Source organism: Homo sapiens, chromosome X (assembly GCF_000001405.40).
Source record: "Homo sapiens chromosome X, GRCh38.p14 Primary Assembly".
Classification (NCBI taxonomy): domain Eukaryota; kingdom Metazoa; phylum Chordata; class Mammalia; order Primates; family Hominidae; genus Homo; species Homo sapiens.
The window spans coordinates 76,212,999-76,238,463 of NC_000023.11; the positions used below are offsets into that span (position 1 = coordinate 76,212,999).

Below are 25,465 nucleotides of genomic sequence, written 5' to 3' on the forward strand. Positions count from 1 at the left end.
CAAGGCTGGTTCAATGTATGCAAATCAATAAATGTAATCCAACATATAAACAGAACCAAAGACAAAAACCACATGATTATCTCAATAGATGAAGAAAAGGCCTTTGACAAAATCCAACAACACTTCATGCTAAAAACTCTCAATAAATTAGGTATTGATGGGACGTATGTCCAAATAATAAGAGCTATCTATGACAAACCCACGGCCAATATCATACTGAATGGGCAAAAACTGGAAGAATTCCCTTTGAAAACTGGCACAAGACAGGGATGCCCTCTCTCACCACTCTTATTCAACATAGTGTTTGAAGTTCTGGCCAGGGCAATCAGGCAGGAGAAGGAAATAAAGGGTATTCAATTAGGAAAAGAGGAAGTCAAATTGTCCGTTTGCAGATGACATGATTATATATCTAGAAAACCCCATTGTCTCAGCCCAAAATCTCCTTCAGCTGATAAGCAACTTCAGCAAAGTCTCAGGATACAAAATCAATGTGCAAAAATCACAAGCATTCTTATACACCAATAATCAACAAAAAGAGAGCCAAATCATGAGTGAACTCCCATTCACAATTGCTTCAAAGAGAATAAAATACCTAGGAATCCAACTTACAAGGGAAATGAAGGACCTCTTCAAGGAGAACTACAAACCACTGCTCAATGAAATAAAAGAGGATAGAAATAAATGGAAGAACATTCCATGCTCATGGGTAGGAAGAATCAATATCGTGAAAATGGCCATACTGCCCAAGGTAATTTATGAATTCAATGCCATCCCCATCAAGCTACCAATGACTTTCTTCACAGAATTGGAAAAAACTACTTTAAAGTTCATATGGAACCAAAAAAGAGCCCGCATCACCAAGTCAATCCTAAGCCAAAAGAACAAAGCTGGAGGCATCATGCTACCTGACTTGAAACTGTACTAGAAGGCTACAGTAACCAAAACAGCATGGTACTGGTACAAAAACAGAGATATAGACCAATGGAACAGAACAGAGCCCTCAGAAATAACGCCGCATATCTACAACTATTTGATCTTTGACAAACCTGAGAAAAACAAGCAATGGGGAAAGGTTTCCCTTTTTAATAAATGATGCTGGGAAAACTGGCTAGCAATATGTAGAAAGCTGAAACTGGATCCCTTCCTTACACCTTATATAAAAATCAATTCAAGATGGATTAAAGACTTAAATGTTAGACCTAAAACCACAAAAACCCTGGAAGAAAACTTAGGCATTACCATTCAGGACATAGGCATGGGCAAGGACTTCATGTCTAAAACACCAAAAGCAATGGCAACAAAAGCCAAAATTGACAAATGGGATCTAATTAAACTAAAGAGCTTCTGCACAGCAAAAAGAAACTACCATTAGAGTGAAGAGGCAACCCACAAAATGGGAGAAAATTTTCACAACCTACTCATCTGACAAAGGGCTAATATCCAGAATCTACAATGAACTCAATCAAATTTACAAGAAAAAAACCAACAACCTCATCAAAAAGTGGGCGAAGGATATGAACAGACACTTCTCAAAAGAAGACATTTATACAGCCAAAAGACACATGAAAAAATGCTCACCATCACTGGCCGTCAGAGAAATGCAAATCAAAACCACAATGAGATATCATGTCACACCTGTTAGAATGGCAATTATTAAAATGTCAGGAAACAACAGGTGCTGGAGAGGATGTGGAGAAATAGGAACACTTTTACACTGTTGGTGGGAATGGAAACTAGTTCAACCATTGTGGAAGTCAGTGTGGCAATTCCTCAAGGATCTAGAACTAGAAATACCATTTGACGCAGCCATCCCATTACTGGGTATATACCCAAAGGACTATAAATCATGCTGCTATAAAGACACATGCACACATATGTTTATTGGGGCACTATTCACAATAGCAAAGACTTGGAACCAACCCAAATGTCCAACAATGATAGAGTGGATTAAGAAAATGTGGCACATATACACCATGGAATACTATGCAGCTATAAAAAATGATGAGTTCATGTCCTTTGTAGGGACATGGATGAAATTGGAAATCATCATTCTCAGTAAACTATCACAAGAACAAAAAACCAAACACCACATATTCTCACTCATAGGTGGGAATTGAACAATGAGAACACATGGACACAGGAAGGGGAACATCACACTCTGGGGACTGCTGTGGGGTGGGGGGAGGGGGGAGGGATAGCACTGGGAGATATACCTAATGCTAGATGACGAGTTAGTGGGTGCAGCGCACCAGAATGTCACATGTATACATATGTAAGTAACCTACACATTGTGCACATGTACCCTAAAACTTAAAGTATAATAAAAATAAAAAAATATCTACTGATTTGTGTACATTAATCTTGTATCCAGAAACTTTGCTGAATTCTTTTATCAGTTCGAGGATAGTTTTTAGAATTTTCAGGGTAAACAATAATATTGTCAGCAAAGAGTGACAGTTTGACTTCCTCTTTATCGATTTGGATACCCTTTATTTCTTTCTCTTTTCCAATTGCTCTGGCTAGGGTTTCCAGTACTATGTTGAAGCGGAGTGGTGAGAGTGGGCATCATTGTGTTTTTCCCATTCTCAGACGGAATGCATTCAGTTTTTCCCCATTGGGTATTATGTTGACTGTGGGTTTGTCATTCGTAGATGGCTTTTATTACATTAATGTAATAATGTTTCTTTATGCTATTTTTCCTGAGAGTTTTATTCATAAAGGGATGCTTAATTTTGTCGAATTTTTTTTGCATCTGTTGAGATGATCATGTGATTTTTCTTTTTAATTCTGTTTATATGATGTATCACATTTATTCACTCGCATATGTTAAACTATCCCTGCATCCCTGGCATAAAACCTGCTTAATCAGGCTGGATTATCTATTTGATATGTTTTTGGATTTGGCTAGCTAGTATTTTGTTAAGAATTATAGCATCTATGTTCATCAGGGATATTGGTCTGTCATTTTCTTTTTTGGTTATGTCCTTCTTTGGTTTTGGTATTAGAGTGATGCTGGTTTCATACAATGAATTATGGAAGGTTCCTTCTTTTTCTTTCCTCTGAAATAGTGTCAAAAAGATTGCTATCAATTCTTCTTTCAATGTCTGATAGAATTCTGCTGTGAATCCTTCTGGTCTTTTACTTTTTTTATTGGTAATTTTTTAATTACCCTTTCAGTGTCTCTGCTTGTTATTGGTCTTTTCAGGGTATCTAATTCTTCCCGATTTAAGCTAGGAGGGTTGTATTTTTTCCAAGAATGTATCCATCTCTTCTAGGTTTTCTAGTTTTTGTGTGTAAAGGTGTTCATAGTATCCTTGAATAATCTTTTGTATTTCGGTAGTGTCAGTTGTAATTTCACCTGTTTTGTTTCTTAGTGAGGTTCTTTGGATTTTCTCTCTTCTTGGTTAGTCTTGCTAATGGCCTATCAATTTTATTTATCTTCACATAGAACCAGCTTTTTGTTTCATTTATCTTTTCTATTGTTTTTCTTGTTTCAATTTTATTTCATTCTTCTCTGATCTTGGTTATTTCCTTTCTTCTGCTGGGTTTGGGTTTGGTTTGCTCCTGTTTCTCTAGTTTTTTGAGGTATGACCTTAGAATGTCATTTTCTGCTCTTTCAGTTTTTTTAAGGTAGGCATTTAGGGCTGTAAACTTTCCTCTTGGCATAGTCTTCGCTGTATTCCAGAAGTTTTTGTAGGTTGTATGGTTATTGTCATTCAGTTGAAAGAAATTTTTAATGTCCATCTTGATTTCATTTTTTATCCAAAGCTCATTCAAGAGCAGTTTATTTAATTTTCATGTATTTGCATGATTTTGAAGGTTCCTTTTGGAGTTGATTTCCAGTTTTATTCCACTGTGGTCTGAGAGAATACTTGATATAATTTCAATTTTCTTAAATTTATTGAGGCTCATTTCATGGCCTATCATATGGTCTATCTTGGAGAAGGTTTTCGGTACTGTTGAATAGAATGTGTATTCTGTGGCTGTTGGATGAAATGTTCTGTATATATCAGTTAAGCCCATTGGCCCAAGGTATAGTTTGGATCCATTGTTTCTTTGTTGACTTTCTGTCTTGATGACCTGTTTAGTGTTGTCAGTGGAGTATGGAAGTCCCCCACTATTAGTGTATTACTGTCTGTCTCATTTCTTTTTTTTTTTTTTAATTTATTTTTTTATTGATAATTCTTGGGTGTTTCTCACAGAGGGGGATTTGGCAGGGTCATGGGACAATAGTGGAGGGAAGGTCAGCAGATAAACAAGTGAACAAAGGACTCTGGTTTTCCTAGGCAGAGGACCCTGCGGCCTTCCGCAGTGTTTGTGTCCCTGATTACTTGAGATTAGGGATTGGTGATGACTCTTAACGAGCATGCTGCCTTCAAGCATCTGTTTAACAAAGCACATCTTGCACCGCCCTTAATCCATTTAACCCTGAGTGGACACAGCACATGTTTCAGAGAGCACAGGGTTGGGGGTAAGGTCACAGATCAACAGGATCCCAAGGCAGGGGAATTTTTCTTAGTGCAGAACAAAATGAAAAGTCTCCCATGTCTACTTCTTTCTACACAGACACGGCAACCATCCGATTTCTCAATCTTTTCCCCACCTTTCCCGCCTTTCTATTCCACAAAGCCGCCATTGTCATCCTGGCCCGTTCTCAATGAGCTGTTGGGCACACCTCCCAGACGGGGTGGTGGCCGGACAGAGGGGCTCCTCACTTCCCAGTAGGGGCGGCCGGGCAGAGGCGCCCCTCACCTCCCGGACGGGGCGGCTGTCCAGGCAGGGGGGGCTGACCCCCCCCACCTCCCTCCCGGATGGGGCGGCTGGCCGGGCGGGGGGCCGACCCCCCCACCTCCCTCCCGGACGGGGCGGCTGGCCGGGCAGAGGGGCTCCTCACTTCCCAGTAGGGGCGGCCGGGCAGAGGCTCCCCTCACCTCCCGGACGGGGCGGCTGGCCGGGCAGGGGGGCTGACCCCCCCCACCTCCCTCCCGGACGGGGCGGCTGGCCGGGCGGGGGGCTGACACCCCCATCTGCCTCCCGGACGGGGTGGCTGGCCGGGCAGAGGGGCTCCTCACTTCCCAGTAGGGGCGGCCGGGCAGAGGCGCCCCTCACCTCCCGGACGGGGCGGCTGGCCGGGCGGGGGGGCTGACCCCCCCACCTCCCTCCCGGACGGGGTGGCTGGCCGGGCTGAGGGGCTCCTCACTTCCCAGTAGGGGCGGCCGGGCAGAGGTGCCCCTCACCTCCCGGACGGGGCGGCTGGCTGGGCGGGGGGCTGACCCCCCCACCTCCCTCCCGGATGGGGCGGCTGGCCGGGCGGGGGGCTGACCCCCCCCCACCTCCCTCCCGGACGGGGTGGCTGCCGGGCGGAGACGCTCCTCACTTCCCAGATGGGGTGGCTGCCGGGCGGAGAGGCTCCTCACTTCTCAGACGGGGCAGCTGCCGGGCGGAGGGGCTCCTCACTTCTCAGACGAGGTGGTTGCCAGGCAGAGGGTCTCCTCACTTCTCAGATGGGGCGGCCGGGCAGAGACGCTCCTCACCTCCCAGGTGGGGTCTCGGCCGGGCAGAGGCGCTCCTCACATCCCAGATGGGGCGGCGGGGCAGAGGCGCTCCCCACATCTCAGACGATGGGCGGCTGGGCAGAGACGCTCCTCACTTCCTAGATGTGATGGCGGCTGGGAAGAGGCGCTCCTCACTTCCTAGATGGGATGGCGGCCGGGCGGAGACGCTCCCCACCTTCCAGACTGGGCAGCCAGGCAGAGGGGCTCCTCACATCCCAGACGATGGGCGGCCAGGCAGAGACACTCCTCACTTCCCAGACGGGGTGGCAGCCGGGCAGAGGCTGCAATCTCGGCACTTTGGGAGGCCAAGGCAGGCGGCTGGGAGGTGTAGGTTGTAGTGAGCCGAGATCACGCCACTGCACTCCAGCCTGGGCACCATTGAGCACTGAGTGAACGAGACTCCGTCTGCAATCCCGGCACCTCGGGAGGCCGAGGTTGGCGGATCACTCGTGGTTAGGGGCTGGAGACCGGCCCGGCCAACACAGCGAAACCCCGTCTCCACCAAAACCAGTCAGGCGTGGTGGCGTGAGCCTGCAATCGCAGGCACTGGGCAGGCTGAGGCAGGAGAATCAGGCAGGGAGGTTGCAGTGAGCCGAGATGGCAGCAGTACAGTCCAGCTTCGGCTCCGCATGAGAGGGAGACCGTGGGGAGAGGGAGAGGGAGAGGGAGAGGGAGAGCTGTCTGTCTCATTTCTTAGGTCTATTAGTAACAGTTTTATTAATTTGGGAGCTCCAATGTGAGGTGCATATATGTTTAGGATTGTAATATTTTCCTGTAGGACAAGGCCTTTTACTATTACATAATGTCCCTCTTTATCTTTTTAAACTGCTGTTGCTTTAATGTTTGTTTTGTGTTATATAAGAATAGCTACCTCTGATCACTTTTGGTGTCCATTTGCATGACATGCCTTTTTCCACCCTTTTACTTTAAGTTTTTGTGAGTCCTTATGTGTTAGGTGAGTCTCCTGAAGGCAGCAGATAGTTAGGTGTTGAGTTTGTATCTGCTCTGTGGTTCTGTATCATTTAAGTGGAGCATTTAGGCCATTTGCATTCAGTGTTAGTATTGAAATGTGAGGTACAATTGCATTCATTGTGCTCTTTGTTGCCTGTGTACTTTTTTGTGTGTATTGTTTTTGCTTTTTAACTTGTATACTTGTTTTATAGGTCCTGTGTCATTTATGCTTTAAAGAGGCTCAGTTTTGATATATCTCCAGGATTATTTTCAAGATCTAAGCTCCTTTTAGCAGTTCTTGTAGTGGTGGCTTGGTAATGGCGAATTCACTCAGCATTTATTTGTCTGAAAAAGACTATATCTTTCCTTCATATATGATGCTTAGTTTCACTGAATACAAAATTCTTGGCTTATAATTGTTTTGTTAGAGGAGGCTAAAGATAGGTCTCCAATCCCTTCTAGCTTGTAGAGTATCTGCTGAGAACTCTGCTGTTAGTTTTTCTTTATAGGTTACCTGGTGCTTCTGTCTCACAGCTCTTAAGATTTTTTCCTTTGTCTTCATTTTGGATAACCTGATGACAATGTGCCTAGGCATGATGTTTTTGTTCTGAAATTTTCAGGTGTTCTTTGTGCTTCTTGTATTTGGATGTCTAGGCCTCTAGCAACACCAGGGAAGGTTTCCTTTATTATTTCCCCAACTATGTTTACCAAGTTTTTAGAATCCTCTTCCTCAGGAACACCAATTATTATTAGGTTTGGTCATTTAACATAATGCCAGACTTCTTCGAGGCTTTGTACATATTTTCTTATTCTTTTTTCTTTGTCTTTGTTGGATTGGGTTAATTCAAAGACCTTGTCTTTGAGCTCTGAATTTCTTTCTTCTTTGTTCAATTCTATTGCGGAGAGTTTCCAGAGCATTTTGTATTTTTAAAAGTGTGTCCAAACTTTCCTGAATTTTTGATTGTTTCTAATTTAAGCTATCTTTTTTTAAAATATTTCTTTCTTCACTTCTTGTATTGTTTCTTGGATTTTCTTTCATTGGGCTTTGCCTTTCTCTGGTGCCTACCTTATTAGCTTAATGACTAACCTCCTGAATTTTTTTTTTTTTTTTTCAGATAAATCAGGGATTTCTTCTTGGTTTGGATCTGTTGCTGGTCAACTAGTCATATTAACATAGTTGGTTTTCCGGTTCCTTCTCATTTGGGTAGGCGCTGTCAGAAGGAAGATCTAAGGATGAAAGCTGTTGTTCAGATTCTTTTGTCCCATTGGTTTTTCCCTTGATGTAGTACTTTTCCCCTCTTCCTATGGATGTGGCTTCCTGTTAGTCAAACTGCATTGATTGTTGCATTTCTTCTGGGTCTAGCCACCCTGTGAGTCTACCTGGCTCAGGGCTGGTACTGGGGGTTGTCTGCACAAAGTTCTGTGTGGTGAACTGACTATGGGTCTCTCAGCCATGGATACAAGTGCCTTTTCCTGTGGAGGTGGTGGGCGGGTGCAATGGACTTCATGAGCTTTCCTACCTTTGGTGGTTTAATGCTCTATTATGTGCTGATTTGCCTCCTGCCGGGAGGTGGTGCTTTCCAGATAGCATGAGCTGTAGTGGTATGGAGAGGGACTGGTGGTGGGCAGGGCCCTAGAACTTTTAAGATTTATATTCCCTTTGTCTACTGCTACCAGGGTGGGTAGGGAAAGACCAGGAGGTGGAGACAGGGGTAGGCATGTCTGAGCTCAGATTCTTTTTTCAGTCAGGTCTTGACGCAGCTGCTGTGGGAGATGTGGATGAGATTCCAAGGTCTGGATTTGTGTACCTAGGAAGATTATGGCTGCCTCGGCTGAGTCCTGCAGGTTGTCAGGGAAGTGAGGGAAAGCTGGCAGTCTCAGGCCTCATCCAGCTCCCATGCAAACTGAAGGACCAGACTGACTTTCACCGTGAACCCCCAACAGCTCCCGAGTCTGTTTCTAGGTGGTGGGCAAGACAGCCTTGAAAACTTACCCCAGGGTACCCACTTCCCAGCTGCAAAAAAAAAAAAAAAAAAAAAAGAAAAAAGAAAAAAAGAAAAAAAAGAAAAAAAAAGAGAAGAAAAGAAAAGAAAAGAAAAGAAAAGAAAAACGGCTTAGTTCTTCTCCTACCTGTGTAGTCTGCACACTGGATTTGTGCCCTCCCCTGAGTTCTGGTCAGGAGGCTTCTTGCTTTGTTCAAGTTGTTACAAATTTCAGCTGGATACTTCCTTCTCCCTGTGAAGTTTTGCTCCCTGCTTCTCTGGCCACCCTCCTGATGGATCTCTGTGGTGCCAGGCAGGAATGGCCTGCCTGGGGACCCAGCTAGCTTCAAGGGCCTTTCCACTGCTTCCTCTACCCCTGAGTTTCACTTGGCTCTCTAAATTGACTCAGCTCCAGGTGAGGTCGGAAACATCTCCCACAAACAGACCTTTAGTTTCTCCTGTGGGTGGATGTGTTTGGGAGAGAAGTTTCCCACTTCTGCAGATGGAGCACTCACAGTATTTGGGGCACCTCCTGGGTCCAGCAGGAGCAGTCTACTTCCTTCAGAGGGTTTGTGAGTCCTGTCAGGATTGCTGGATTGTTCTTGCTAAAATTCACAATGTGAGACTCTGCATGCTGCTCTGTCTGGAGGGCAATCTAGTCCTGCCTCCCCTTCGTCATGATCCAATGTTCTCAAGTCCTTCTGGTTTAGATACTTTAGTGGTTTTTATTTCTTCGATTAGATTTTTTTTTTTAATGGAGTCTTGCTCTGTCACCCAGACTTGAGTGCAGTGGCATGATCTCAGCTAATTGCAACCTCCGCCTCACAGGTTCAAGTGATTCTCCTGCCTCAGCCTCCCGAGTAGCTCAGATTACAGGCCCATAGGTAGACCATAAGTATATTTAAACTTATTATGATTGGCAATTGGTTGAAAGAGTTATTATTAGTAGAAAGAAATGTCTGATTATGATAAGGGGTTGTGGAGACCTAGGTTTTATCATGTAGATGAAGCCTCCAAGTAGCAGGCTTTAGAGAGAATAGACTGTAAATGTTTTTAATCAGACTAAAGGCTTGTGTTAATGTTAATGCTGGAAGGGTGTAATGAGACATGTCCAACCTTCATTTTCCCACATGGTCCAAACCAGTCTTTCACTTTGAAAGTGCCAGAGTAGAGTGTGCAACCCAAGCATGTCCAGAATTGCTGTGAAGAGATTTTGAATCATTATTTCCAGAAGTGGCTAATAGCAAACTAATGATTCTGACTATAACACCACAAAACCAAGAATGATATGATAGTTTGACATGAAGAAGTAGAAATTGAAAGAGAAACGCTCTTGGAAAAGTTTATCAATAGTGCTAAAGAAATTTGCTATGCACTTCAAGCTGAGGATAGTGGGCTGAATTAATTGGTTTGGCATTTTTTGGACCATGTATAAACAACCCTCTTTTTAAAACAGATGAAAGCTACTAACATTTAGGATTATCTGTTGATGATCTTGGATAATGTGAAGCGATTTATCATAGTCTCTGGGGCACCGATGTATTTGTCGGAAGTATGTTCACTAATGCAACACCAGACAGCCATATTATAGAGAAATTAAGGGGAAATTAGCAGTAATATTAATTCATTAGCTGTACTATTTTTATGTAACCTTGGGGTTAATATATAGGCACTGTCAAACTAAAGTCTCTAAAAGATACTTATTTGTAAGTATTTATTTCAACATTTATGAATTTACAACATTGACAAGTAATAATGGGATTTTAAAATTTCAAATGTTCATTATTCATATTATCATTGACTACATGTTGAGCACAACCACATTGTATAGGATGTGGTAATTAGCTTGTAACCAGGATATAATCTGTTATTGTTATTTCTCTTCTTTATTGGAAAAAACCCTCATTTTAATTATTTTTATCAAAAAAAATCACACATTTGGTTATTGATGGCTGGATATGGTGGCTCATGACTGTAATCCCAGCACTTTGGGAGGCAAGTGGATCACTTGAGGTCAGGAGTTCAACACCAGCCTGGCCAATACAATGAAACCCTTTCTCTTCTAAACATACAAAAATTAGCCAGGTGTGGTGGCAGGCACCCATAATCCCAGCTACTTGGAAGACTGAGGCAGGAGAATAGCTTGAACCCGGGAGGTGGAGATTGTGGTGAGCCGAGATCACAGCATTGCACTCCAGCCTGGGTGACAGAGCAAGACTCCGTCTCAAACAAACAAACAAACAAACAAACAATTTTATGAATCTTAAACTGTGTTGTGGCCTAATATATGATCTATCCTGGAGCATGTTCTAAGTGCATTTGAGAATGTATATTCTGCAACTATTGAATGGAATGATCTTAATATGTATGTTGGGACTATGTGGTCTATAGTTCAAGCCCAATGTTACATATTGATTTTCTGTCTGCATGATCTGTCTATTTTTGACAGTGGGGTATTGAAGTCCCTTTCTGTTATTGTATTGCTGTCTATTTCTCCCTTCGCGTTTATTATTTGCTTTATATATTTAGGTGTTCTCATATTTGGTGCATACATACATGCTATTGTTATATCTTCTAAACAAATTGACTTATTTGTCATTATGTAGTGACCTTTGTCTCTTGCAACAGTTTTTGACTGAAAGTCTATTTTATCTGATATGAATATAGCCAACTCAGCTGTCTTTTGTTTACCATTTTCAAGGAATATCTTTTTCCATCTATTTCAGCCTATGTGTATGTGGCCTTTCACCTTCACTGTCTTCAAAATTTTTTGTCTTTTTTTTTTTTTTTAGATAGAATCTCACTGTGTCACCCAGGCTGTAGTGCAGTAGTGTGATCTCAGCTCACTGCAATTTCTGCCTCCCAGGTTCAAGTTAGTGGATTGCAAACCACAATGGCAGTGTTAAAGTATTTTTATTTTGCTATGTATTTACTTTTACTAGTGGGTTTTATACCTTTAAATGTTTTCATTTTGCATGTTACTGTTTTTATTTTCTTTCAGATTGAAGAACTCCCTTCGCCATGTTTTGTAAGTTGGTTCTGGTGGTGATAAATTCTGTCAGCTTTTGCTTATCTGGAAAATACTTTATTTCTCCTTCATGTTTGCAGAAGAGTTTTGCTGGGTAAAGAACTCTTGGTTGGTAGTTTTTTTCTTTTAGACACTTGAATATGTCATCCCACTCCCTCCAGTCCTATATGATTTTCACTAAAAATAAAATCCAGATGAAAATGAGCTCCAGATGAATTGGAGCTTTTTTGTATGTTATTTGCTTTTTTTCTCTTGCTCCTTTTAGAATCCTCTCTTTGTCCTTGACCTTTGACAGTCTGATTATTATGTTGTTGTAGTTGTATTTGGGTTGAATCTCTGTGCTCTGTGCTGTTCTCAGACTTCCTGTATCTGGACATTTATATCTTCCTCAAGTTTTTAAGTTTTCTTTTTTTTTATTTCTTTGTATGAGGTTTCTACTCCTTGCTCTTGCTCAGATCCCTATTGAACATCAATAATTCTTAGATTTTCTATTTTGAGGTAATTTTATATATCTGGTAGGCATTTTTTATTTAGTTTCTTTTTTTGTTTTTTCTTTTCTGACTGTGTATTTTTCATTTTCTTTTTTTATCATTATACTTTAAGTTCTAGGGTACATGTGTACAACATGCAGGTTTGTTACATAGGTATACATGTGCCATGTTGGTTTGCTGCACTCATTAACTTGTCATTTACTTTAGGTATTTCTCCTAATGTTATCACTCCCCCAACCCCCACCCCATGACAGGCCCCCGTGTGTGATGTCCCCCACCATGTGTCCAAGTGTTCTCATTGTTCAATTCTCACCCATTAGTGAGAACATGCGGTGTTTGGTTTTCTGTCCTTGCAATAGTTTGCTCAGAATGATGGTTTCGAGCTTCATCCATGTCCCTGCAAAGGATATGAACTCATCCTTTTTTATGGCTGCATAGTATTCCATAGTGTATATGTGCCACATTTTCTTAATCCAGTCTATTATTGATGGACATTTGGGTTGGTTCCAAGTTTTTGCTATTGTGAATAGTGCCACAATAAACATACGTGTGCATGTGTCTTTATAGTAGCATGATTTATAATCCTTCGGGTATATACCCAGTAATGGGATCACTGGGTCAAATGGTATTTCTAGTTCTAGATCCTTGAGGAATTGCCACACTGATTTCCACAAGGGTTGAACTAGTTTACAGTCCCAGCAACAGTGTAAAAGCGTTCCTATTTCTCCACATCCTCTCCAGCATCTGTTGTTTCCTGACTTTTTAATGATCGCCATTCTAACTGGTGTGAGATGGTATCTCATTGTGGTTTTGATTTGCATTTCTCTGATGGCCAGTGATGATGAGCATTTTTTCATGTGTCTGTTGGCTGCATAAATGTCTTCTTTTGAGAAGTCTGACAGTGTATTTTCAAATAGTCTGTCTTTCAGCTAACTGATTATTTTCTCTGCTTGACCCATTCTGCTGTTGAGAGCCCCTAATAAGTTTTTCACTTCAGCAAACGAATTTTTCAGTTCTAGGATTTTTGTTTGAGTTTTAACAAAATATTTTAATATCTTTGTTACATTTCTCTAGTAAATCTCTGAGTTGCTTTTTTGTGTTACATATAATGCTGAGTTTTCTTAAAACTTTTATTTTGTATTTTGTGTTTTTTTAAAATTCAACTTTGTGCATTCAGGGGGTACATGTACAGTTTTGTGACATGAGTATATTGCATAATGCTGAGGCTTGGGATACAGGTGTTAGCATCACCCAGGTAGTGAGCATAGTGCCAAATAGGTAAAAACAGCTGTTTTAAATTCTTGATCAGGGAACTTTCCTATTGCCATTTCATTATAATTGGTCACTGACTCCTTGCTTTGTCTCTTTGGGGAGGTCATGGTTCCCTGATTGCTATTGTTTCTTTTGTACATATGTCTGCATCTTCACACTGAAGGATTAGTTACTACCCTTCTCTCCCTGGCTTGTTTAAATTTCTATTGTAAATGTTTACTTTGATATTTATTTGCAATATAACTTTGGAATATACTTTTTTGCTAGGTCATTGCCTCCTATTTGGCACTAGATGACCCCTTATGCCCAAGTTTGTCTGGGTTCTAGTAAATGGCCCAGCTACTGGTCCCAGATGGGGAAGGCTCCAAAGGGCATATGAAAGCAGTGTGGGAAGTCTGGTTAGAGGTTTGCACCCAGGGCACATGTGGAATGCACTTCTTACAGTACGGTGCACTGAACAGCCATTCTGATTTGACCTCTCTTTTGGCCTAGAAACAGAGCAGGTCCTGCTTTCACCATTTTTCTTTGGCTGTTTTCAGGATTTTTTCTCCCTTCAGGTACTTGCAATGTTTTCTGTGGATTGAGGTGGAAACAAATCTTTAGGATCCCAACATTGCAGGGAAGCTCATTGTCAACATCAATTTCACTTTTTTCTAGTATAGTAACTGAGTTATGGGAAAATTTTCTGGATGCTTGGTGTCTGGCAGAATGTAGGATGGGCATCAGAGCTATATTCAATTATCTTACTATCTGTATGAAGTTTTTTCACTTCTACTTGACCACAACATCTATTTTATCCTCATATTTGAGTTCTGGAATTTTGCTGTTGATAAGCTTGGCACTGCATATTTGGTTTTGATTTTCTGGTAGTGGGGAGAGAAGCCTGCTAGCTTCTACTCTACCATTTTGGTGATGTCTCTACATAAAAGCATTTGACAAAATTTAACATCCTTTCTATCATGATAATAAGAAATATCTGAAAGTTTTTATTCTCAGATTTAGTACTAGGCAAAGATGATTTTTCTCATCTCTTTTATCCAATGTAATACCAGAAATACAAACCAGAGCAATCAAGCAAGAGAATAAAATAAAGTTCATCCAAGTTTGAAATGAAGTCAAATTATCATTGTTTGCAGATGACATGATCTTATAGTTGGAAAATCCTAAAGACTCCACTAAAACATTGTTAGAGCTGATAAATTAAGTAAAGTTATAAGCAACACAATTAACATACAAAAATTAGTAGCATTTCTATACATAAGAAAGAATTTAATGAAACAATCTTATTTAAAATAGCATAAAATATGTTGGAATAAATTTAACCAAGGTGGTGAAAGACTTGTACACATAAAACTATAAAACTTTGTGAAAAAAATTGAAGATGACACAAATAGATGAAAAGTTACTGTGTGTTCATGAACCAGAAGTATTAATATTGTTAAAATATTTTTACTGCCCTAAGCAATATACTTATATTTGTGTGAACCATGGAGAAAATGGAACAAGTATAATGTTGACCTGAAATACTAGCAACCTCTATTGATCTGTTGCCAGATGGAAAACAAGACATTTCCATGGAAATTGCAGAGTAAGTACCACCAGTGTCTATCCAAAAAAGATATATTAACCTACATTTCCATGGAAATTGCAGAGTAAGTACCACAAGTGTCTATCCAAAAAAGATATATTAACATAAGGAAAAGTTATTGAGACATATGATTCACCAGTTTTTATTTCCAAGATTTTTAAATCTATCAGTTTAGAGCCAATTGTAAAGTTTTCTTAGCTGAGGGTTTTATCCTTCTATTGGCTTTACTGATTTTCTTATTCCTGAAATTTATTCATCCTGTGGTATTTTTATCTATAGATTTTCCTAAAATGTTCTTTTTTTAAAAATAACATATAGTTTTCTTTCCTTTCTCCCTTTATATATTGACAAATATAGGAATTACTTCTGTTAGTAAAATGTTCTAATTGAGTGGTTAAAACAGTAGTTTTGCATTTCTTCTTTATATTTCTCTAGATTGTCCCCAAACTGAATAGCTGCTGAGCAATAGTCTGTCCTTGTCATACTGCCATTTTTTACTCAACCTGGGTTTGGATAGTTGTCAAGATAGCCAATACTCAGTTTGCTAAGACTAGAGTGCAGTTTTGGTCCTCAACTCTGTCCATGCCAGTGATTTTTCAAAAAGCCTCAACAAACCACTTATAGAAATCAGTGGAGGCACTCGCCCTTTTCTGGGTACAATGCTGTAACATTTTCTAGCTCACCTTTGTAGAAAGCCTTCAAGTAAAGTCACCAAGAAATCCCTTCAGTGGGCTGCTAGTGCACTTAATTCTTCTGTAGTTGTAGGTGGTGGTGGATAATAGCCCTCTCTTGGTCACAGTGACTTTTCATGTAGGGGACCTATTTTTAGACTGTCTACTTGTTGCTAGAAAGTCTGCTGATTGCAAAATCTTCTACAACAACCAGTGTAAGCAACCATGCTTGGGTCTGTAAACACAAAACATGCTGTGCAGTATTTCTGCAAACTTCTATGAGTCTTCCAGGTCACAGAAAAAGAAGTCTTTAGATAATTGATACCAACCAGTGAGAAAAGCATGTATATTCTTTTTCTTTTCTTTTGTTTTCTTTTTTTTTTTTTTTTTGAGACAGAGTCTCGCTCTGTTGACCAGGCTGGAGTGGAGTGCAGTGACATGATCTTGGCTCACTGCAACCTCTGCTTCCTGGGTTCAAGTGATTATCTTGCCTCAGCCTCCCAAGTAGCAGGGATTATAGGCACCTGCCACCACGCCAGGCTATTTTTTATTTTTTTATTTTTTAGTAGAGATTGGGTTTTATCATGTTGGCCAGGCTGGTCTCAAACTTCTGACCTCAAATGGTCCACCCACCTCGGCCTCTTAAAGTGCGGGGATTACAAATATGAGCCACCGTGCCTGGCCACACATGTGTATTCTTAATTAATTTACCCCCGATGGGTGTGGGTAACCTCTCAATGGCATAAGCTTTGTTGGTGATCTGAATATAACGGATTGATTTATTTTTTGTCTAGAGAAAGAAAAAATATAGAGTTATATGGCACTTTTGTCCCCTTTTCTGTATTAGTGAGCAGTCTAATACCTTTTTTCTCTTTTTTTCAAGTGACTAATAAAAATACTCTCCATCATTCTGCCTATATATGAAGACACAGCCTGATCTTCAAATTATCAATTATTCTGTGGTCATGTTTATTTTTTTATGTCTGTTTTCCTAGCTGTATGGTGTGTGAATGAGAACAGACTCTTGGATGTGGAATCTGGGCTCAGATATGAAGTGGACTTGGCTAGGTCATAAAGCACACAAACCCATGTCCTCATACAGAGCAGAAAATGTACTACCAATGAAACAGTTTGTGCCCTCATTTATTTTTTTTTTCAGGGAAATCCACTAATGAAGTAGCCATCTGAAATATTAGCATCTCTCTATTTTTTTAAAGTAGTCAGATTAATGCAAGGACATCATAGAGAGAAGAAATGGCAGAAAAAAGTAGAAAGGGTTTTTTTTAAAAGACAAGGTGCCTTTAATTTTCATATATATTTTCCATTTCCTTTAACTATTTTCTGGCTATCCAAATGATTTTTAACTTCACTCTTAGAATGGTAGCAATACCATAAATACTAGTAATTTATTTACTTGAAATGAGACCCTGCCAAGAACCTCCACAAATATGTCAATTTATACCAATCAAAAGAACTATTCTTGGGCCATTACAAGACTAGATTATCACATGTATACTCATTCCAACCAGGACAGAGATATTTTAGTTCTTAAACAGAAATAACTGGAAGTAACCTTTCTGGCTTCCAGTACTTTTCCATGATCAAAACTAGTGATGACCTTGATGAGATTTTAAAGGCTATTTTACCATGCTTTTTCAATAGCAATATACTGAATTTGGAAGGGTCAATTTATTCAGCTAGTATTCTAAAAAGTATGGAAATAGAAGGGAGATTTTTTAATATATACAATTAAGGCTCTACCTGACTTTTATGGAATCACAAAACTTTCAATTGGTCTGCTAAATTCAACGACTGCCAATCTCATCCTCATCACTAAAATTTTGGGAAATACATAATTTAAAACAAAACTTGCCCTCAATCTGAAAACCTCTTCACAAAGGTAGAAAAAAAGAACACTTTTTAAAATTAAATAAGCATTAAACCAGGCTGTGATACACATATAAGGCAATTCACTTGAGATACTGAAGACAGAATGAAAACTTACTTGTATATAGCAAAGTGGATACAACCCATTACATTCATGCTTTCAAAATAAAATTGCTAGTTTTATACTATTTTTATCATATAAGTAGAGCTTGCAGTTTGGAGTCAGGTGACAGCTAAAATTAGGCCCATTATCTCCCAGAAGACTGAGAGATCAGGTATTATTTTATACTTCAAAGAGTTGGCTCTCAGGTCCTAAGTTGTGAAGTCCATGACAGGCTTATTTAATATTTGACTTTATGGTGGGTTCTTATTTTCTGGGATTTTACTATGTCACTTTTCAACCACCATAGTAGCCACAGGTTCCATCATTGCAGTTTTGTAATGGAGTTATAGGTATTTTGGGCCACAGGGGCTGGGATATGCCCTCAAGCAAAAAGCAAAAGTCTCTCTAAACATAAATTTGTATCCTCTTTACTTCTTTGCTATTGACTCCTCTCCAGTTTCTGCTTGCTCTGGTAGCTCTCCAGTTCCACTGGAGTTGCTGTCATTTCAAGAGTATACTTTGTGCAGATTTTATAATGTTTATCTGTGGGCAGGTCATTTCTATACAAGCTACTCTGGCATTACTAAAAACTTAATTCTTCTCTTTTCAGCACCCAATATTATAACATTATTTCTCAATCTTATCTTTTGTTTTTCCCATGTGCTGCTTCTTATCAAAGACTATCTTGATGCAACATTATAATTTTTATGACTTCTTGCCATTTATTTAAAAATCTTGTATACTCAAATTCCTAATCTAGAAAAGATTCAATTATATATGTGTTACCAAATAGAAATCTAGTTTTATTTTTCCATATAGGTAGCACAGTTTCTAATCTTATTTATTGTACAATCCATTATTTTTCCACTCAACTGAAAAACCATTTTTGCCATAAAAAACTTTGCATATACTCACTGATCTTTAAATGGGCTTTTCATGTAGTTTTTCTAATCAATTTAATTATTAGAATTTTAAGAGAAGTATTAGCTGAGGTTCCAGAACCACATCTGTAAATCCATGTTCCACATCAGCCCCTGCAGCCCCAGACACCAGGCCCACTACAACTGAATCTGGTTCCAGGTGAACCCCAGCAATAGTATAACACAGTCATTGTGGTGTGTAAACTACTGTTATCTTAAGTAGAAATACTAAATAATGAACCAATTCAAAATAATAAATACAGTTTTTCCAACATAGAGAATACAATGAGATATAAAAGAAAACAACAAATAATTAAAAAGTGGGGGAATGATATTAAAGTGTAGAGTTTCCATTAGTTTTATTTGTGTGTGTGTGTGTGTGTGTGTGTGTGTGTGTGGTTTAGACAATAAGTGGTAAGTTGTCATCAATTTAAAATGATGGGATACAAGATAATATTTGGAAGCCTCAAGGTAACCTCATATTGAAAAATAAACAGTTGATACATAAGAAAACAAATAGCAAAAATGTATATCATACCACCATACAAAATCACCTTCACTAAAAGAAAGACAGGAAGAAAGAAAAGAAGAGGAAGCTTCAAAACAACAGAAAACAAATGAAAAATGGCAGAAGTAAACCCTTACTATCAATAATAACACTACATGTAAATTGACTAAACTCTCCAAAAACATAGACTGGATGAATGGATAAAAAACAAGAACCTATCATCTGTTGACAAAAAGAGACACACTTTACTTATAAAGCTTTACGTAGATTTAAAATAAAAGAATGGAAAAAGATATTTCATGGCAATTGAAACAAAAAGAAATGCAGGAGTAAGTATATTTATATCAGGCAAAATTTATTTCAAGACAAAAATTGTAAGAAGAGATAAATAAGGTCATTATATAATGATGAACAGGTCAATTCAGCAAAAAAACTAATTGGAAATATATATGCATTTGATAATAGAGCACCTAGATATATAAAGCAAACATTATTAGAGCTAAAGAGAGGGATAGACACCACTACAACAATAGCTGGAGACCTCAACATCCCACTTTCAGCATTGGACTGATCTTCCAGAAAGAAAATTTGAAAGATATATCAGACTTAATTTGCACTATAGAACAAATAGATGTAATAGATACTTACAGAACATTTTTTTCAATGGCTGCAGAATACACATTCTTCTTCTCAGTAGGGGGATTATTCTCATGGAAGGACCATATATTAGGTCACAACAAAACTCTTAAACCATTTCAAAAATGAAATAATATCAAGCATTTTCTCTGACCACAGTGAAATAAAACTAGAAATCGAGCACAAGAGGAATTTTGAAAACTATGCAAACACTTGGAAATTAAGCAACACGCTCTTGAATGATGAATGGGTCATAAAGAAATTAAGATGAAAATTTTTAAAACTATTGAAACAAATGAAAATGGAAACACAACATACCAAAACCACTGCATCAGATATAGTGAAAGCAGTATAAAGAGGAATACTTATTGCTATAAGTGCCTACATCAAAAAAGTAGAAAAACTTCAAAATAATAACAATGTATTTCAAAGTATTAAAAATGCAAGAACAAACCAAAACAAAAATTAGTAGAAGAAAAGAAATAATAAAGATTGAGCAGAAATAAATGAAATAGAAATAAAGAAAACAATACAAAAATCAATAGAATGAATAGTTGGTTTTTTTGAATAGATAAACAAAATGTATAGAATTTATTCTAATGAAGAAGAAAAGACCCAAATAAGTATAATCAGAGATGGAAAGGAAACATTACAACTTACACTATAGCAATTTAAGAAATCATTAGTGGCTACTATGAGCAACTATATGTCAGTACATTTGAAAATCTAGAGGAAATGGATAAATTCCTAGACACAGAGGAGATCTGGCAAGATGGCCGAATAGGAACAGGTCCGATATGCAGCTCCCAGCGAGACCAACGCAGAAGGAGGGTGATTTCTGCATTTCCAAATGAGGTACCCAGTTCATTTCACTGGGACTGGTTAGACAGTGGGTGCAGCGCACGGAAGGTGAGCAGAAGCAGTGTGGGGCATCGCCTCACCCAGGAAGTGCAAGGAGCCAGGGAGCTCCCTCCCCCAGCCAAGGGTAGCCATGAGGGACTGTGCTATCCTGCCCAGGTACAACACTTTTCCCACGGTTTTTGCAATCCACAGATCAGGAGATTCCCTTGTGTGCCTATACCACCAGGGCCCTGGGTTTCAAGCACAAAATTGGGCAGCTGTTTGAGAAGACACCGAGCTAGTGCAGAGTTTTTATTTTATTTTATTTTTGTACCCAGTGGTACCTGGAACCCCTTTGAGGCAGAACCATTCACTCCCCTGGAAAGGGGGCTGAAGCCAGGGAGCCGAGCAGTCTCACTCAGCAGATCCCACTCCCATGGAGGCCAGCAAGCTAAGAAACGCTGGCTTGAAATTCTCACTGCCAGCACAGCAGTCTGAAGTTGACCTGGGATGATTGAGCTTGGTGACAGGAGGGACGTTCATCATTACTGAGGCTTTAGTAGGTGGTTTTCCCCTGGCAGTGCTAAGTAGGCCTGTTGGTTTGGATTGGGTGGAATTCATCACAGCATGACAAAGCAGCTGTGGCCAGACTGCCTCTCTAGAGTCCTTCTTCATGAGTAGGATATCTCTAAAAGAAAGGCAAGAGCCCCAGCCAGGTGCTTTTAGATAAAACTCTCATCTCCCTGGGACAGAGCACCTGGGGGAATGGGCAGCTGTGGGTGCAGCTTCTGTGGACTTAAACATTCTTGCCTGCTGGCTCTGAAGAGAGAATCTGATCCTGACAAGACTCTCCCAGCATAACACTCAAGCTCTGCTAAGGGACAGACTTCCTCCCCAAGTGGGTCCCAGACCCCTGTGTCTCCTGAATGGGAGAGACCTCCCAACAGAGATTGACAGACACCTCATACAAGAGAGCTCTGGCTGCATCAGGTCAGTGCCCCTCTGGGACAAAGCTTCCAGAGGAAGAAGCAGGCAGCAATCTTTGCTGTCCTGCAGCCTCCACTGGTGATACCCAAGCAAACAGGGTCTACAGTGGACCCCCAGCAAACTTCAACAGACCTGCAGAAGAGGGGCCTGACTCTTAGAAGAAAAACTAACAAGCAGAAAGGAACAACATCAACATCAACAAAAAGAACCCCCACATAAACATCCTATCCAAAGGTCATCAGCCTCAATGACCAAAGGTAAATAAATCCATGAAGATGAGGAAAGACCAGTGCAAAAATGCTAATTCCAAAAACCACAGTGACTCTTCTCCTCCAAATGATCGCAACTCTTCTCCAACAAGGGCACAAACCTGAACAGAGAATGAGATTGATGAATTGACAGAAGTAGGCTTCAGAGGTGGGTAATAACAAACTCCTTTGAGCTAAAGGAGCATGTCCTAACCAACACAAGCTGAGAACCTTCATACAAGATTACAGTAACTGCTAACTAAACAAACCAGTTTAGAGAGGAACACAAATGACCTGATGGAGCTGAAAAACAGAGCACAAGAACTTCATAAAGCATACACAAGTATCAATAGCCGAATTCATCAAGCAGAAGAAAGTATATCAGAGATTGAAGATCAACTTACTGAAGTAAGGCATGAAGACAAGATTAGAGAAAAAAGAATAAAAAGGAACAAACCAAGCCTCCAAAAAATATGAAACTATGAGAAAAGATGAAACCTACGATTGATGTATATACCTGAAAGTGATGGGTAGAATGGAACCAAGTTGGAAACACACTTCAGGGTATTACCCAGGAGAACTTCCTCAACCTAGCAAGATAGGCCAACATTCAAATTCAGAAAATACAGAGAAAACCATTAAGACTTCTAGAGAAGAGCAACTCCAAGACACATAATCATCAGATTCTCCAAGGTTTAAATGAAAGAAAAAATGTTAAGGGCAGCCAGAGAGATAGGTCAGGTTACCTACAAAGGGAAGCCCATCAGACTAAGAGTGGATCTCTCTGCAGAAACCCTACAAGCCAGAAGAGAGTTGGGGCCAATATTCAACATTCTTAAAGAAAAGAAATCAACCCAGAATTTCATATCCAGTCAAACTAAGCTTCATAAGCAAAGAAGAAATAAAATCCTTTCCAGAAAAGCAAATACCAAGATATTTTTGTTTCTACCATACCTGTCGTACAAAGAGCTCTTGAAAGAAGCACTAAATATGAAAAGGAAAAACTAGTACCTGCCACTGCAAAAACACACCGAAATATAAAGACCAATGACACTATGAAGAAACTGCTTCAACTAATGTGCAAAACAAGCAGCTAGCATCATGATGACAGGATGAAATTCACACATAACAATATTAACCTTCAATGTAAATGGGTTAAATGCCCCAATTAAAAGACACGGACTGGCAAATTAGATAAAGAGTCAAGACCAATCGATGTGCTGTATTCAGGAGACATATATCACCTGCAAAGACACACATAGGCTCAAAATAAAGGGATGGAGGAATAGGAATTTTACCATACAAATGAAAAGCAAAAAAAAAAAAAAAAAAAAAAAAAGCAGGGTTTGCAATCATGGTCTCTGATAAAACAAACTTTAAACCAACAAAGATCAAAAAAGACAAAGAAGGGCATTACATAATGGTAAAGGCATCAATTCAACAAGAAGAGCTAAGTATCCTAAATATATATGCACTTAATACATGAGCACCCAGATTTGTAAAACAAGTTCTTACAGACCTACAAACAGAGTTAGACTCCCACATAATAACAGTGGAAGACTTTAACACCCCACTGTCAATATTAGATCAATGAGACAGAAAATTAACAAGGATATTCAGGACTTGAACCCAGCTCTGGATCAAGTGGACCTAATAGACAAATACAGAACTCTCCACCCCCAAGTAAACAGAATACACATTCTTCTCAGTGCCACATAGCATGTAGTTTAAAATCGACCACATAATTGAAATTGAAACACTCCTTAGCAAATGCAAAAAAAAAAAAAAAGGAAATCATAACAAACAGTCCCTCACACCACATGTAATCAAATTAGAACTCAGGATTAAGAAACTCACCCAAAACCACAAAATTACAAAAAAACTGAACAATCTGCTCCTGAATGACTAAGGGGCAAATAATGAAATTAAAGTCGAAATAAAAAAGTTCTCTGAAAGCAGTGAGAACAAAAACACAATGTACCAGAATCTCTGGGACACAGCTAAAGCCATGTTAAGAGGAAAACTTATAGCACTAAATGCCCACATCAGAAAGCTGGAAAGACCTAAAATCAACACCCTATCATGACATTAAAAGAAGTAGAAAAGCAAGAGCAAACAAATTCAAAAGCTAGCAGAAGACAAGAAATAACTAAGATCAGAGCAGAACTGCAGGAGATGAAGACAGGAAAAACCCTTCAAAAAATTCATGAATCCAGGAACGGGTTTTTTTTAAAAAGGTTAACAAAATAGATGGACCATTAGTTAGACTAATGAAAAAGAAAAGAGAAGAATCAAATAGACACAATAAAAAATGATAAAAGGGACATCATCACTGATCCCACAGAAATACAGCCTAGCATCAGAGAATACTATAAACACCTCTACACAAACAAACCAGAAAATTGAGGAGAAATGGATAAATTCCTGGACACATACACCCTCCCAAGACTAAACCAGGAAGAAGTTGAATCCCTGAAGAGACCAATAAAAAGTTCTAAAATTGAGGCAGTAATTAATAGCCTACCAACCAAAAAAAGCCCAGGACCAGACGGATTCACAGCCAAATTATACTAAAGAGGAGCTGTATCATTCCTTCTGAAATTATTCCAAACAACAGAAAAAGAGGAAATCCGCCCTAACTCCTTTTATGAGGCCAGCATCATCTGGATACTAAAACCTGGAAGAGACACAACAACAACAAAATATTTCAGGCCAATATCTCTGATGAACATCGATGTGAAATTCCTCAGTAAAATACTGGCAAACTAATCCAGCAGCACACCAAAAAGCTGATCCACCATGATCAAGTCAGCTTCATCCCTGGGATGCAAGGCTGGTTCAACATACACAAATCAATAAACATAATCCATCACATAAACAGAACCTATGACAAAAACCACATGATTATCTCAACAGATGTAGAAAAGGTCTTTGATAAAAATTCAACACCTTTTCATGCTAAAATCTCTCAATGAACTAGGCATTGATGGAACATATCTCAAAATAATAAGACCTATTTATAATGAACACATAGCCAATATCATATTAAATGGGCAAAAGCTAGAAGCATTCCCTTTGAAACCCAGCAGTAGAAAAGGATGCCCTCCCACACCACTCCTATTCAACATAGTACTGGAAGTTCTGGCCAGGGCAATTAGGCAAGAGAAAAAAATAAGGGGTATTCAAATAGGAAGAGAGGAAGTCAAATTGTCTATGTTTGCAGATGACATGATTGTATATTTCAAAAACCCCGTCATCGCAGCCCCAGAACTCCTTTAGCTGATAAACAACTTTGGCAAAGTCTCAGGATACAAAATCAATGTGCAAAAATCACAAGCATTCCTATACATTAGGAATAGACAAACAGAGAGCCAAATCATGAGTGAACTCTCATTCACAATTGCTACAAAGAGAATAAAACACCTAGGAATACAATTTACAAGGGCGGTGAAGGACCTCCTCTAGGAGAACTACAAACCACTGCTTAAGGAAATAAGAGAGGACACAAACAAATGAAAATAATTTCACGCTGGTGTATAGAAAGAATCAATATTTCAAAAATGGCCATACTGCCCAAAGTGATTTGTAGATTTAATGCCATTCCCATGAAACTATCATTGGCTTTCTTTGCAGAATCAGAAAAAACGACCTTAAATTTCATATGGAAACAAAAATGAGCCTGTATAGCCAAGACAATCCTAAGCAAAAAGAGCAAATCTGGAGGCATCACCCTACCTGACTTCAAACTATACTACAAGGCTGCAGTAACCAAAACAGCATGGTACTGGTCCAAAGCAG

General features: G+C 39.5%; 1 pseudogene, besides 1 other annotated feature; it reads left to right on the forward strand.

Annotated features, from left to right (window-relative positions):
- Positions 5,736-6,479: an enhancer, noted in NCBI's record as "H3K4me1 hESC enhancer chrX:75439133-75439876 (GRCh37/hg19 assembly coordinates)". NCBI's record gives its function as "activates a minimal SCP1, AML or CMV promoter by ChIP-STARR-seq in naive H9 embryonic stem cells {active_cell/tissue: H9 hESC(naive)}" and the evidence as "EXISTENCE:reporter gene assay evidence [ECO:0000049][PMID:30033119]".
- On the forward strand, positions 9,639-10,433 carry MMADHCP1 (MMADHC pseudogene 1; annotated as a pseudogene).